General features: G+C 36.0%; 1 protein-coding gene and 1 long non-coding RNA gene across 12 annotated transcripts in view; one reads left to right on the top strand and one right to left on the bottom strand.

Annotated features, from left to right (window-relative positions):
* The window catches only part of ZFPM2 (zinc finger protein, FOG family member 2), a 486,102-nt gene that overhangs the window by 246,128 nt on the left and 222,981 nt on the right, over window positions 1–16,993 (bottom strand). The gene's annotated exons all lie outside the window — the stretch shown is intronic.
* LOC105375696 (uncharacterized) lies at window positions 925–15,132 on the top strand. Of its 2 annotated transcripts, XR_001745682.3 has the most exons (5): window positions 927–1,001; window positions 3,109–3,162; window positions 10,164–10,204; window positions 12,265–12,350; window positions 15,094–15,132. It is a non-coding gene; the product is annotated as an uncharacterized LOC105375696 (long non-coding RNA). The 2 variants fall into 2 exon arrangements; XR_001745683.3 differs by lacking the exon at window positions 3,109–3,162 and having other exon boundaries at window positions 925–1,001.

Here is a 16,993-nt window from a genome sequence, read left to right as displayed (position 1 = left end):
CAACTTTACTAGACAAGCAAGAATACCCCAGTCTCCTTTCTTGCTTGCCAACAAGTTATTTCAGGGTTTAGGAAAATCCTTTCTTATGCTGAAACAGTTAAATAAAAATATTCATTTATTCACAATAGCATTTCTAAAAACTGCAAGCATAGCGCAAATAATTAGCATGTATATTCTACCAAGGTTACATAGGTTAAGGATAGCAAAAGAAACAAAACATTGTATAAAGGGAAGTTACATTTAACTTACATATTGCTTAAGAGTATGATATTTTATTTTTTTTCCAAAAATTAATAGGTGTTATGAAATAGAGGAAAGATTACTGCACTAAAAGTAAGATTTTTACACCAATTCTGTTCAATAACCAGCTGAACGGCCTCAAATAAGTTATATCTTTCCTGAGTGTTTGGTTTGTCACTGTTAAAAGAGTGGTTTGCACTCACTCACAACTTGCTAAGCTGTTTTTCAACACTGACAGTCCATGATAGCATGATTTTCCTTCCCTACATACAACATATTATGAGAAGTAGAAGGGCACTGGGCTGGTGGGTCACAGACTTAAGTCCCCGAACCACTTTATCAGAGGATGGATGTTTGACTTGAAAAGATTAGATATTCTGAAATAAGATGGAAAAGCTCCAATTCTTATTTGATTTATTTATTCCTTTATGCCTCATTCATTCGTTTATTCATTCATTTATTTTATAAATATTTATTGGTACTTATAAATAAGTACCAGACAGTGTGTTAGGCCAAAGAATAAAGCAAAAAACAAAACAAGCCTGAACCTGGATGAATCCATGAAATAAAATCCATATGGCTTGGGAAGTAAAAGTCATAGAACTTAGTGATTGTTCAGATTTTAGAACTTAGGGCAGAGAGAATCCTAGAATGTTACACAGGTATCTCACTTAGGCACATGAGCCAATGGCCATGTTCCTGTTGAGACAGAAGAACACAGAAAAGCAAGAATTAAGAGTAAAATAAGGAGTTATAGTTTGGTAATGTTGATATTAAAGTAGCTATAAAGAAGGCAATAGGTGATTTTAGGTAGGCAAGTATAGGCCTGGGGCCCAGAAGCAAGGTCTTAACTAGAAGCAAGGTCTTGGCATTTATTCAGTAATTAAAACCACCTTGTATATGGTAATACAAGCCATAGGATTAAAGAGTATATCATGATAAATAAGAAGACCTAGGACAGAATTCTAAAGACCTTCAAAGGCATAGTGATGCAGGAATAGGCATAGAAACTTTAGGAGAATTGGCAAGAGACATAGAAAAGAAATTGGATATAGTACCATAGACACCAAGGGGTTGATTGAGAATTTGAAGGAGAGGGGAATCAATCAAGGAATCTGAAAATTTATGAAAGTAAGAAAAGAACTAGAGGCCAGACATGGTGGCTCAGGCCTGTAATACTAGCACTTTGGGAGGCCGAGGTGATTGGATCACCTGAGGGTCAGGAGTTTGAGACCAGCCTGGTGAACATGGTGAAACCCCATCTGTGTTAAAACTGCAAATATTAGCTGGTTGTGGTGGTGCATGTCTGTAATCCCAACTACTCGGGAGGCTGAGGCAGGATAACTGCTTGAATATGGGAGACAGAGGTTGCAGTGAGCCAAGATCGCACCACTGCACTCCAGCCTGGGTGACAGAGCAAGACTCTGTCAAAGGGGAGGGGAGGGGAGGGGAGGGAAGGGAAGGGAAGGGAAGGGGGAAGGGGGAAAAGGGAAGGGGGAAGGGAAGAACTGGAAAGATTCCTTTGGATGAGATGGCAATCACAGGTATTTGGAGTGAAAGGAGTTTTGTAAAGTGGTAGACCGGGATACACGCTGGAATGGGTTCACAATTGAATGAGAGAAGAGTAACTGTAATAAGCCATGTGATCCTTAGCAAGTTACCTAACCCTTTGAACTTCAGTTTCTGCATGCAAAGTGGGAACTGCAATAGCTTTCTAAAAAGGTTGCTGTGAGGATTAACAATATGCAAAGGCAAAGTACCTGATAAATATTTGCTACTTCACCAAAAAGAAATTGAAGAATTCTAAGAGCATGTCCATATACTTCCATTATCACATCCAACCATTCATTGATGTCTGCTTGTGGTCACGTGCCCTCTTTGTCACCTTTATCCAAATCACTCCTCATATCCTGACTAATTTTCTTTTCCATTGGCTGTTGGATTCACCCTTCTTATCAGCATTTTTAAGGTTTTCATCAACTCAGATGTAGACAACCCACCAGCCTCAATTCATTCTACAGCTCCAATTCAGGTTTCAAATCTCTGCCAGGATAAACTGATTAAAACTCCACTTTCATCATGTTACCCATTTATGCAAGTTCCTTCACTAGCTACTTCTTGGCCATCCCAAATTGAACATATCTGCCTGAATTTTAATACCACTGATACTGCTCCACAGTATTTGCCTGACTCTTGCGTTCTACTGCTCTCCCAAATGTGTTCTTCCCTCCAGTCAAAAAAGCCTTCTTCTCCTTCCATTCCTCCTCATCTCCAGTTTAGCTCCCCCATAACTTTCTGAGAATGGTTCCCGCTATCTGGCAGACACATCCTATTTCTGCCTGCCTTAATAGACCCTTTTAATGTTGCAAGGTCAAGCCCAAAGCTATTCTCCTTCATGCACCTTCTCTGAATTCTAGAGAAAACCGAATTTTTCTTCCCTAATACTCCCATTGCATTTATAGTCCAATATCATACAGTTTTGCATTAAATTATTCCCTAGTAGGTTTCTCCTTGATAATGTAGTTCACCTCAACAGAAACATAAACATTTTAATCTACAAATTTCTTTAATAATTCTGTTTATTCCCTGGTAATTAATAGAGTTTGTGACACATGATATTTGAAAAATACAAATGGAACACAATTGATGGGATGAAAATCTTGATGATACGACGTATCTCAATTTTAGTACAATTGAAGTTGATTTTTGGAGACAAAAGAGAGTTGTCTTAATATGTGTCTGCTCTTTGTATTACAACAAGCATCCATTTCACTTGTTCAACCTTCTATGTAATGCGTTCACATACATTACCTCATCTATAGAATACGGAGTGGGATAAAAAAATAAAAAATGTTCTTCTCTGCCCAGTTCATATTTTTGCAGTTATTCTTCAAAAAGAAGCCTGATTTTTTAACATGCTGGGTAAGTTCACAGAAAATATTTGAGGCATATAGGACGGACTAATCAATTTTGGTAAAAGATAATATTGTTAGTGCTCAGGGCTGTTTCTCTTATCTTCTTGATAATGCATACTTTTAAAAGTCTGTGATTACTCAAAGACTTATGATAGCTTAACTTAAAAAAAAAAAGGCCCTAAGTCAGAAATCACTACCAAACATCCCACAGCTTTTTAAAATATCAACCCACTTTTTGGCCTAAATAAAAGAAATTCACTGGTGGAGAGAAATACTTAAAATCACCAGAGACACCCTCAAATATTTTTTCTTTGAAAGTGCTATCAAGACATTGTATTTTTTTAATATGGTCTTTTTGATGCCTCTTTAGAAAGCAAAGGATATGAACATAGTAGCACACCAAAGGGGAACAGACAGATATGAGTCTTTTAGAATAGTTACCAGCAATCATGCTTCACCTGAATTCACCATTAAGTTGATGATATAAACATATAAGGTAATTACAGAACGACCCTTAACTCAAGGCTCAGATTTCATAGGACATAGCTGCAAGTAAATGAGATGACAGAAGATCATATTGCATTTGCTGAAAATACAATTCGGATTGGTTTGAACTTGGTTTTAAATATACAACCAAATTTTAAAGCAGACCACATGAATTAGCTCACAATATTTATCAGGCCATAGTATAGCAGAAGGCTATAGCGTCAGAACCCATATTTATATTTTCTTCATGGTTGGAAGACATTATACATCATGGTATCAAACATGGACAGCCCCGAAGTCATGCTGAGTTCAAAAAGCACTCAAAGATTCTAAAAATCTCAAAACATTTTCAAAGTCAGCCAAGGTGGCTGAAGTATGGCAGAGCTCTTGCTATTTTATGGTTTAACCATTTGACAGCTGCCTGCCAGATACCTAAGAGGGTTAGATCATTTCACTGCTGATTATCTTCACAGCCAAACTGCAGTCTTTCCATTATGTGTGTTTCCTCAGGCATTAATAACCATGTTTCATCTGCATTTTGAGACAAATAGCACCATTTATATTATGCTATATTGATCCATCTCTAAGCATGGTTTGGCTCAGGAAATGATAGTTCTTGGTTGGTGACTACAAATTGCCTTATAGAGATACTTTTTCTAATTTTCCTTCTCAATGTTTGAGTCATACAGTCACAACAAATACTAAACTACAGTTTTGAACATAAACTTGAAATACGACGTTCCCTATTCAAGTACTCTAGTCAAACCCTGATAAATCAGGCTGGCCATGCAGTGATCTTATCCCTTCTGACTCTTTAATAAATCGAACCTTGTAAGTTCCTACTGTTGGAAGTTGTCACTAAATGAAATTGTGACCTTATCCGGCGCATGAACTTATCCTGCTGACAACTACATTTATTGTGTGGATAAGAAAGGAAAAAAAGAAAAAGGGAATAAAGAAAAAATGAGATACTTGATAATTCTGATCTTAGCCATATGTAACTCTAACAGATGGGATCTTTTTGATGTTCCATTAATGATTTGCCAAAGATGAGTCTCTACTTAGAGAAAAATGCTCACCCTAGGTAAGTGCTGGGGGCACTGCAGATGGTATTAAAAGAGCATGAGGAGGTACTGGGTGACAGCAGCAAATCAGAAGCTATTAGTCCAACACAAAGAGCACTGAATTAGCTTGTAATTGCACTGGAAAAGATAACATAATGGTGGTGGCAAAATAGAAACATTCCCTTTTCATGCGATGAATTCAGTACCTAAAAACTCTAACACAACACACTGGAATGGTCTAAAACCTAGAGTAAAATTACTGTATTTCTCAAGAATGCAAAATGCTCTCTTTGGCTATAGTTTCTAAAAAGTCATAGAAATCAATGTGTACAGCATCATATAAGAAGCAAATTTACATTTATATGCTACCAAATATTGACATATATTACAAACTCAGGAACCTTTTACCTTATTATTCTGGCTGGTCTTAAGGATTTATTCTGAGACAGGTTATTCTTTCTATCTTAAGGACCATTGAAACTTTCCAATTGTCATTTTTATTATAGAGAAATAGAGAAGACGAAATATGTGGGTAGGCAGTAATATTATTGGTAATGAAACAGAAAATTCTAAGTGTTTTTAAAAACAACACCATGGGCTGGGTACAATGGTTCACGTCTGTAATCCCAGCAATTTGTGAGGCCAAGGAGGGTGGATTGCTTGAGCTCAGGAGTTCAAGACCAGCCTGGGCAACATGGCAAAACCCTGTCTTTACAAAAAAATATAAAAATTAGCCAGGTGTGGTGGCATGAGCTTGTAGTCCCAGCTACTCAGGAGGCTAAGGTGGGAGGATTGCTTGAGCCCGGGGGGGATCAAGGACTACAGGTGTGCCACTGCACTCCAGCCTGGGTGACAGAGCCAGATCCTGTCTTTAAAAAAAAAAAAAAAAAAAAAGAACATCTGAAAAACCCACCATGAAATAACTAGAAGACCTTCACTTACATCACTGCATACAAAATAAGTTTTATATTCAGAGGCCATGTTCAAGGTTGGGAGAAAGAAATTGCCATATTCTGCCCTTTGCTCTAAAGTCTTTTTATATGAACAAAGAAACAGGAAGAAACAGCCCATCCCAGGTGTCTGAAAATATTCACCTGGAGTGTGACTAGCTCTTGCAAATGTTCGGAAAAGTCATTAGAAGGTGGAGCTGTGGTCGTTGGAGACTTTTCAGCTGCTGGAAGTTGAGTGGGAGGGAGCAGGTCACCACTCTTTTGCTCAAGAAGCCTGGCACAGTGTGCTTCTTTGCTGCCAGAAACCTTCCCTGACCTTCTAGACAACATCCCGTGTCACAGCTGACCTGATACTACTTCCTGATCCAAATGTGAAGAAACAGAGGAAGGTTATGTTTTGGGAGCTCCAGTTAGTGGGGGTATCATCTTGGAAGTAAGAGGACTTGGCTAGCAAGCACAGGAAACAGCAGTGGAATGTGCAGCAGCTAAAAGTCAGTCTACCAGCTGGAGGGCCACAGAAAGGTCCGTCCATGAAGAGTACAGGTCAGAGAAGGTGTGTTTTTCTCCAGGAGGAAAAACTCCAAAGAAGAAACAAGATAAAAATCAACTATTGATCCTGTCCGATGACAAGATAGGAAGAAATAATTTTTAAAGAACATCAATAGAACTCATTGATATTTATGGCACTAAATTTAGTCAATCAACATCATTTATTTATTTATTTAGTCAACACGTAGTCTGTTAAAACTGCCTGCTTTTCATAGGCTGCTGTCGTTAATTTAGAAGAAGATAATTCACTTAGAACTTATCACAAGTCATTGCTGATATTTAACAATCACATATACTTGTTTGTTTGTAGACGTGCTAGATCCTGTGTTAGCTTGATATCTATAACAAACCAAGATATGGTCATGTATTGTAACATGATGAGATTGTATAGTTGGAGATGAAAGGAAATATACTGATAAGCTTTGACAGGTAAATATTGTTAGACTTCAGTTGTGATTAGAATGAGTTTTGCCTGGAAGTAAAGATCTTCAGGAGGTTCCAGCTGGGAGTGGAGAGGTGATTTTTAGGTCACAAAATTATAAAACCAAAGGATGGCAGAATGATTTGACAGATGAATAAATGACAAGGGAAAAATAAAAGCATTACTTTGAAACCTTTCAGTCTAACCCAGGGAGCTCATACTACACTGTGAGGTACTCTCATTCCCTAATAGAAATGTTCAGAAGACTGGTCTGAAGTAGAATTCCATTACAGATTTTTAAATTTTTATTCAGAGAACAAGTATAACAAGTACCATGTGTCTTTAAAAAGAGTTTGTTCAAAAATAGAGTGGAAAACAGAACCATAAAGAAATAAAAATGTAACATATAACCAATGAATATAGACCCTAGGATACTTGAGTTCATTCCTTGAGTTCAATACTACTGCCAGCACACTTCAAATAATATCTAAATATGTTATGAAACTGTGATGCAGATCCCAAAATTTAGGAGAATAAGTCCTATGCAGTACTAAACATTAAAGTGTTAACTGTGCCACGCACTAAATTCTCTTACAGTGTGGCATCTTCAATAAACATACTATATATTTATTTACTTTAAAAATGCCTTAGTCGATAGAAAGATCTCACTTATAGGCTATAATTTGGCACAAAGTTGCTTATTTCTACAGTTTGAATTTATATTGTTGAAAATATTATTCATTTCAGAAAATACCTCCAAAAGTATCCTTTTTAAAGCTGAAGAATGCTGCAGCCATTTCCTAGTCATTCTGGAGTCTCTGATTAACAATCGCATATCTTCACGGTTGCATATATTCTTAAGTTACACATAACTGATGAGAAGCATTTACCCAAAAGCAGACTCCTTGACACTCTGTGTTTTCAGTGCAGTACATACTCAGTCTTGCTATGTTCTGGAGGCTTCAGCTGTGTGGTGTATTTATTGAAGTACCCATCATTAGTGTTTTGTTTCAACCCTAGCTATCCTTTGAAGTCTATCTGCCATTCTCTGGTGAACACTTCCCTGATTCACACAGCCTCTCCTTGTCAGAAGTTCAGAGGTGATTGCTCCTGTTGAATTCCCAAAGTATGTGATTTTTTACTCTAATACATTTCATCACTTTCTTCCTTATAAGAGTGATTTGTACGTATTTTCTCTCCCTACATGCAACTTTCTAGATATCTCCACAATGCTTTCTACCTGGTAGGGCTATAGGAAGTAAAAAGAGTAGGTATAATTTTTATCATCATATTGATTGGGCTAGGGCTCAAAGCTAAAATGACTGATTTAAGTTACAAAATTAGTAGTGATACCAGGACTCCAATTCTGGTTTTCTGACCCTTTCATATTTTATCACACTGCTTGTTTCAAAAAAATGTAACAACTTAACTAGGTGGAAGGATTGACCTCAAACCCACTATCATATCAGCAGCCATTAGAGTGGATTCATTTATAAGATTAGCTGCCAGTCAATTTGGAAAGCAGAATGTGAGTGCCTGAAGGACGGGGCCACAGGGTGAGTTTTGAAGGAGGTAAGGTGGTAGGAAAGATTAAACAAACAAAACACTGTGAAAGCATCACAGGGCTAAGGGTGGCAAGCTTATGATGTGAGTGTCAGAGTTCACAAAACATTTTACATTTCTGTCCCAAAAATTTCAGAAAGAAGAAAGCTAGTAAGATTCATTGGTTTAAGACAATGAAGTCCCCTCTCTCCACCTGATAATCAGACTTTCAATGTTGTATTTTAGTATATTTAATAACTAAATATTTTCTCTGAAGAATAAGCACTAAATGACATATTATGCATTACTAGCCTAAGAAATGATACATTTAGGCTGGGTGCAATGGCTCATGTCTGTAATCCCAGTGCTTTGGGAGGCCAAGGCAGGAGAATTGTGTGAGCCCAGGAGTTTGAGAACAGCATGGTCACATAGTGAGACCATATCTCTACAAAAAAAATACAAAAAATTAGCCAGACATCGTGGCTTGTGCCTGTGGTCCCTGCTACTTGGGAAGTTGAGACTGGGGGATCGCTTAAGCCCAGGAGTTGGAGGCTACAGTGAACGGTTATTGTGCCACTGCCCTTCACTCTGGAAAACAGAGTGAGCCCCTGTCTCAATTAAAAAAAAAAGAGAGAGAGAGAGAGATAGAGGAAGGAAAGAAGGAACGAAGGATGGAAGGAAGAAAGGAAGGAAGGAAGGAAGGAAGGAAGGAAGGAAGGAAGGAAGATGGGAGGGAGGGAGGGAGGGAGAGAAGATTTGTGAGCTTTTCTTCCCAAGAATAACAAGTGTAAAGGACACCAAAACGACTCCCCATCTTTTCATTTGCATTGATAGCATTTTCTCCAGAAATGACCTGATGCAAAATTGTACATAGCTACTGCAAACTAGAAAATCTCATGCCCTCGCTTTAACCAACTTGTAAAATACATCTATATCACACATTCAGCATGCCCAGTAAGCTAACTATAAATATGTTCCATATATATGTTATTCTTCTTCTCTGTCTTCTCCTCTCCTTTCTCTCACTTTCCCTGGATCTTTCCCTTTCCAACATGAATATAGAGTATAGAGATGGCAGATTTTGAAGAAGAAGAGGAGGAGGAAATGAAGGAAGGAAAGCTGATATTATCACTCATGAGCATAGTTTCTTGCTGTGGAGTGGTCCTAACAGAGAATCCTTACATATGCTTATTTGAGGTGTGATCAATAGACCTACAATAGCCCACCATGTATCAGACTTCTGAAGACAGTACTATTCCCAGGACTATTTTGTTCATAAAATCATATCCAGCTGAACTTTACTTAAATACATATTTACTCATTCAAAATTATTTGTTAAACACTTACAATGCCAGTCACAATGCTGAATACTGAAGATGTAAAATGAATCTAATGTGGACTTTTTCCTTATGTGACTTACTCTAATGGTGAGATAATTACGACCTAATATAACAAGTGTTTGCTGAAGGTATAAGATAAAATTTTACCAGTAAGGAAAAAAATCTCCTAAGGCAACCTGGAGAAATCAGGAATGGCATCTCAGAGGGAGGATTGGCAAAGGACTAAAGCAATATACACCATCTTTTTCCTTTAAGAAATCAGAAAGAATGTCTTCAAAAAATGAACAAATAGAATGTCAAGCATTTTAACACATTTGTTATGTTACAATAAAATTGTAAGGCAGAGGTTTAATGAATGAGAGAACGTTGCCTTGAGATAAAAATCACTGCCAGATTGGATGGAACAAATTGCTGGAATTTGTTGTAAAAAAAAACAGTTTTAAGACCATGAAATCATAACTGATGGTAAGAGTTTCTGTCGTTCAATATTGTAAACATGTTAATTTTGGACAAAATAGTCTAAAAATTATTGGAAAATGACTTTTAAATTGCTTTTAACTTAAATTATATTACTCTTATAAAATATTTTTCTTATTAGAAAAACTTACTTTGCTCTTTTTTGATAATTTCACATGAACTCCTGAAATTAATATAAGGATCCTGAAAGTTATCGCCTCCAGCACTAAAGGTCAGAGAGGTGAGTATATTTATCATGTCCTCTCAGTGTATAGTTCCTAACAATCAAAGAGTTTCTTTTCACCATTTATTCCTATGATCTACTTGGTGAAGTTCTGAATGAGCACATTCAGAACTAATGGTGTGATGTCTGAAAGCAGAATCAGACACTCAGAAACGACCACAATTATATAAATTACCTATGTGATGCAAGAAGTCAACTGCTTTTCTTTAAAAAAAAAACCAAAACTTCACATGGTTAAAATCATTTTTATTGTTTCATGACTATATATCAGAATACTTACATAGCCAAAAAGTTATTACATTTAAAGGATATTTGTAAAACTGCATCATGCAAATGGGTAGATGTTGCTTACGAACACCAAAAACTTTAATAAATAATATCAGAAGATAGAAATTATGTTTGAAATTATGTATATCTGTCAAAACATCTTTGTATCAGAAGATAGAAATTATGTTTGAAATTATGTATATCTGTCAAAACATCTTTTTGTTTCTAAAGAAGATAGGTATAAATGTAAAGATGACTTACCAAAATATGTTAATATATCACTTACATCTGATTTCCTCTGTACAGTCACTGACTTAAGTAAAACCACGAATTTAAAGTATAGCTTTCTTTAAACACACTCTGATTTCTTTTTTTTTTTTTTTTTTTTTTTTTTTGAGATGGAGTTTCACTCTCGTCACCCAGGCTGGAGTGCAATGGTGTGATCTTGGCTCACTGCAACCTCCGCCTCCCGGGTTCAAGCAATTCTCTTGTCTCAGTCTCCTGAGTACCTGGGATTACAGGTGCCCACCACCACGCTCGGCTATTTTCATATTTTTTGTAGAGACAGGGTTTCACCATGTGGGCCAGGCTGGTCTCAAACTCCTGACCTCAGGTGATCCACCCGCCTCGGCCTCCCAAAGTGCTGGGATTACAGGTGTGAGCCACCAGGCCTGGCCTCTAATTTATTTATATTATTCATCTTAAATATCAGTTATCCAGAATAAAGTAGAAAATGTATAGCAAGAGTAGAGTTGAAGTGGAATAGGCACAGCAATATGGAAATCATTATGCACAATTCTTAGCTAGAGTAAAAATAATGATTTGCCATTGCAAAGAACACAGGCTTGAGCACCTTACTTTCAATTTATAATAACCATCTATAATATTTTGTCCTCCACCAGATACATGAATGTCCTAATTTTATATTTTCTGATATGATGAATCTGACCTCCTCCCCAAAAAAAGGGAAACTGTGATACTTTTATTCTGGAAAAGAACTGTATATGTAGATAATAAGGAGAAAATATATGAGACATTATTAAAGTAAATTTTATAGATTCTTATATTGATTTCATAAATCATTAAAAGTGGGAATTATATACTCCTAGGATTCAATAATTCAGACCATATTAGAAAAACTTTGCTAACCATCTTGAGCACTACTAGCTTATATTTACTCTGGATCCTTCGACTGGTTGCTACTTGCCGTGGAATCAATTTAATTTCCTAACTGATCCTCCTAAGTTTGTCATGAACATGAGACCACATAGATAAAGGACTCAGTATAATGTCGAGCACATAGTAAGAACTCAATACATGTTATAAGTTTTATCTTAGTGGTTTTTGGGTTTGTTTTTTTTTTTTTTTTGAGACTGAGCTTTGCTCTTGTTTCCAGGCTGGAGTGCAATGGTGCTGTCTTGGCTCACAGCAACCTCTGGCTCCCAGGTTCAAGTGATTCTCCTGCCTCAGCCTCCTGAGTAGCTGGGATTACAGGCATGCACCACCACGCCCGTCTAATTTTGTATTTTTACGGTGTTTCTCCATGTTGATCAGGCTGGTCTTGAACTCCCGGCCTCAGATGATCCACCCGCCTCAGCCTCCCAAAGTGCTGGGATTACAGGTGTGAGCCACCACACCCAGCCTATCTTAGTGTTTTGTAATTGGGAATAAATAAAGACGAAAATAAAACATATGGATAAAAACTAGTCTCGTTCAACATGCAGATTTGCTTGATAATCGCAATTAGCCAATCTAGTACTAGCCTTCACCTAGAACCACTTTCATTCCAGGTGAAGAAAAAGGGAGGCAGAAAAGATCATACTGAATCCAAAAGGAAACAGGAACAGAGCTCCCAGAGCTGATTCTACCCCCAAAGGTAATGGAGACATTCAGCCCACAGTAACCCCACACTGGTACTTCCTACTTTATAGCTAAGCCAGGCAGAGGTATGTGGCTGTAAAGGGCAACATCAAAGGTGGGTCACCCATTCCATTTCTAGATAACCAGGATTAACTGCTCCACTGACATTATCCTGATATTATAGAGTTCCAGAAAGGAGAAAATAAGGAATGCACTTATGCATTAGTAAAAAAAAATACTTGCACAACCATATTTAAAACAATGGAAAATGTTTATTCATCTTACTGGCTGCCATTAGATTTTTTTCCATTTCCTTCCTCAATTCTTCTCAATTTTAAAATAATGAAGATAAAACTTACAGCATTTACTAAGTACTTATAATATAGCAGACATTATATTGAGTTCTTTATCTATGTGGTCTCACTTTCACAACAAACTTAGGAGGAGCAATTAAGAAATAAAATAATGCCCATGGTAAGCCACCAAAATGGAAGCAAAAGCATCTTTATTAATTAGCACAATCTTAATTTTTTGAGAATATAGTCCTTATATTTTCTAAGTTATTTAGTGTAGATTTATATATTACCTCCTTTTTCTTTCTAACTCAATAGAACACTTTGAATAAAATTACTGCAGTTAGATAGGTGGCAATGTGGGAGAGAAGAGTTGATAAAGATTAAGGAAGAGCAACAGTCACCAACTTACATGAGAGATGGCTACTACAAAAAAACAGAAGTTCTGAACAAACACTGATCTACCAAATAACAATGATTAAATGTATAATGGACAATTACATTAAAAAGTCAGGGACAATCCTAATTTCTTGATGGGAAAATTGGCAGTGTTTCAAATATAAACAGGCATTTCCTCCACTATTTTTTCAAAAATATTAATTACTATAGCTCCTCACACTTACAAATATCTCTATCAAAATCAAAGGTTATTCCTTAGGATCCTGTGAAAATGCAGATATTATTGACATCATCATCATCATGATTTTTGTCATTCTAATAATTTCAGCTTCTAAACCAAGGATGTTAAACCTAAATAAAGCATATCCTCAGGAAAAAATAACATTTTTAATGTAAATTATTAATCCACCCTTTTGACTTCTCAAAGCCAACAAAGTAAAAGCAAATCAAGGCTACTACACAATGAATGTATTTACCATTGCTTATTACCAATCCATGATATATAAAAAAGATGGTTCCATGAACAAGCTGTGTACGAACATGTGGAATTTAGTTCTCACCACTCCATGTATTTATTCATTTGCTGAACAAACATGTAATGAGCATCACCTTTGCTTCTGGCCCTGTAATCATCTTGCATTTGGGGGGTCACTTTTCTTAAGTAATTTTGCTCAGCTGAAGATTATTAAATCAATACTGCAAACCCAACTTGTGTCCATGAAGAAGCAAACACTTCCACCTTTATATTTAATCACAACTACATGAACCATTAGACCTCCTTTTCTTCAGAACATCAAATTACAGTAAAACCTTTTCAGTTTCAGCTTTGTTGCATGAAATTATTATCAAGGTGGCAGGGCCAGAGCTGAAGTTTAAAACAGGAGGTAGAAGCAAGAGAATAATATAAACAAGATTTGAAATGAGACTACTTAATAGAATAAATTCTAAAGCACTTAAGAGAAATTAATTTACAAACACATAATCAATTACAAGGGAAGAAAAAGCCAACATCATTAGGGGAGGGTAAGGAAGACTCCAATTACAAATCATGGCAATGCGCACCTGACCTCATGTAGAATACTGTTAGTCGTAAATATATTCTACTGTATGAAATAAAGGTGACAAATCTTCATTTATTTTATAAATATTCTAACACCCATACTAGAACTGACCATTCTCTAAATTGTTCATTCTACTAAGGCTTTTGTGATCCTATTATTAAGAAATTTATTTTGTAATATTTTATTTTATTTCAGCATTTTACTAATTTGAGAAAACTAAAGGCTCCTAGTTTTATAACTCAATATGGAAATAGTGTGTATAGTATCAACAAACTGATATCAAAAGGCAGGCCTCCAAAACACCTTTTGATAACCAGCCATCTTCAGTTAGAATTGTTCATGTCTTCCATTTACCTTCCCACTAACGTCCATCAGAATATCTACAGCACTGTAGCATGCGTGTGCATGTATGTGTGTGTGCATGCCTGACTAATGTCAACGTTAAGGTCTGGCCAACTATACCCAAGTTATGTGGTTCATGACGGAAAGTATCATGTCTAATAATAAGTTGTTCCTAAGATGTAGTATTACGCCTGGAATAAAATGAAGGATTTAATAAATACTACTTGAATACACAAAAGAAGGAAGGAATGGAGGGACAGAAGGAGGAAAGATAGTATTTGCAAAAATATATAGGATGACTTAAATTATACAGGATAAGATGACATGAAAGTAATAAATGAAAGAAAAGATACATCACTTAAAAATCAGAAGACTAAAGATCCTTTTTAATACTCTTCCAATTGGTTTAATTCCTTACAAATATAGAAATAAGGAAATGATTTTTAAAAAGAGAGAGATTTGATTTTATGTAATCCATGTTGAGTCAGGAAGAGCCCATATGATTAAATTCCCCTGGGATACTAAATTTATGATTCTATGTTATGATGGGCTCACAGCCACCTCTGCCTTCTGGGTTCAAGTGATCCTCCCGCCTCAGCCTCCTGAGTAGCTGGGACCACAGGTGTGGGCCATCAAGCTAGGCTAATTTTTGTATCTTCTGTAGAGATGGAGTTTCACCGTGTTGCCCAGGCTGGCCTCAAACTCCTGGACTCAAGCCATCCACCCACCTTGGTCTCCCAAAATGCTGGGATTACAGGAGTGAGCTACCACGCCCGGCCTTGTATTTCGCTTCTCTTAAAAGGAGATAGAGGTAAATTCTTCAGACGACTTTAATCCAGGAGATTTTAATTTAACTTCTCATCATGGAAATGCAAATCAAACTAAACAGTCTATTAATATCACTAAGATCTTGTATTGCCTTTAATTATGCATTTCAATGTTCACTTTAAACAGCAAGTAAACATCTTTTTGGATACTAGTAACAACCTAATGACCCACCTTGACTTCCTGAGAACAAGAAGTTATTTTTAAAATTACAGATTCAACATGCACATACATTCACACACACTCATAGACAAACAAGTATAAGCAAAACTGAAAAAAATTAGAATAAGATAGGTATATGGCATAAATGTCACTATCTTGGTTGTGATATTATACCACAGTTTTAAAAATTGGTAACCATTGTGGGGAACTTGGCAAAGTATATAAGGAATCTCCTTGGACTATTTCTTACAACTGCATGTGAATTCATAATTATCTCAATAATTATCCCTTTGTGTCCATGGGGGATACGTTCCAGGACCTCCTGCAGGATACCAAAATCTACGCACATTCAAGTCCCACAGTAGACCCTGAAGAACCTGTGGATACAAAAAGTCAGCTAGCCCATGAACGCTGTATTTTCAGTCCACATTTGGTTGTGGATAGGGAACTCACTGATAGGGAGGGGCCAACTGTATTCATTGAAAAAAATTCTGGAACTCATGCAGTTCAAACTTTCATTATTCAAGAGACAACTGTAAATATTTAAGAATATGGATTCAGACACTTGAGAGCTCTTAAACTATTAATTTATAATTATCAAAACAAAGCCAACCAAAACGATTTAACACATCTCGCTATAGATAAAAACAATCAACAACTGAAGCAAATATAAAATCTATCACCTCAGGTTTCATACAATTCAAAGGGGAGAAATAATCCTGAATATCTAATTATCTAATCCACCAAAGAACTAAAAATTAACAAGACTGCATTTCTCTTTTAAATATGTATTGCGTATTTGTAGAACATTACGATATTTTTACTCACTATCAATCAATAAATTAATTACAAAGCTAGCAAAATAACCATTTTTCATATAAAAATTATTAATTGCATAAATAATAAAGTATTCCCTCTTTGGATTCTGGTTTTATTTCTGCTGAGCCTGAAAAAGTAATTTGTGACAGTATGTTTATTTTACTTATTTTCCCATATATACAAAGACTTATCAGTAATACTTGTTATTCATCTTCAAATATTGCTTTATTTCTGGAAAAATAATTTTTTACATTAAAAAAATTAGCAATTTCTTCAAAATGAAGGTGATTTAAATGGCATTTGGTGTCCATTTTCTCATCTGTTCCTTTTTATAAGATTCAGATGTTATACTGAAGCAGATAAAGTCATTACAATACTGCAATAAAATAGTAAAATGTGAGATATACAGTGCTGAAATGAATTTAATCTGCTATACTGTTTTAAATGGAAATATATTGTAAGATTATACATTTCCTAAAATGGCAACACAGATATTACTGCTCCCTGGTGAAAGATACTAAAATCTCCATTTATTTAGCTGGTGTAGGTATGGCCTTAGGTGTACACCTACAAGTGAATTAAATCTAATTGCTTATTTTCAGTTCCCTCAGAAAGTACTGCCTTTAAGCAAGATGTAAATGCATTTAAATGGGTATATTCCTCTGAAACTCTGTTCAATAAGTCAAGTGTTTCTTCCAATATAGAGATTCTTCTTTGATCCAGGATATTCATGATATTTCACTTAAAAGTACAGGCAC

This window comes from Homo sapiens, chromosome 8 (assembly GCF_000001405.40).
Source record: "Homo sapiens chromosome 8, GRCh38.p14 Primary Assembly".
Lineage (NCBI taxonomy): Eukaryota > Metazoa > Chordata > Mammalia > Primates > Hominidae > Homo > Homo sapiens.
This window is presented reverse-complemented; position numbering and strand designations above follow the sequence as displayed.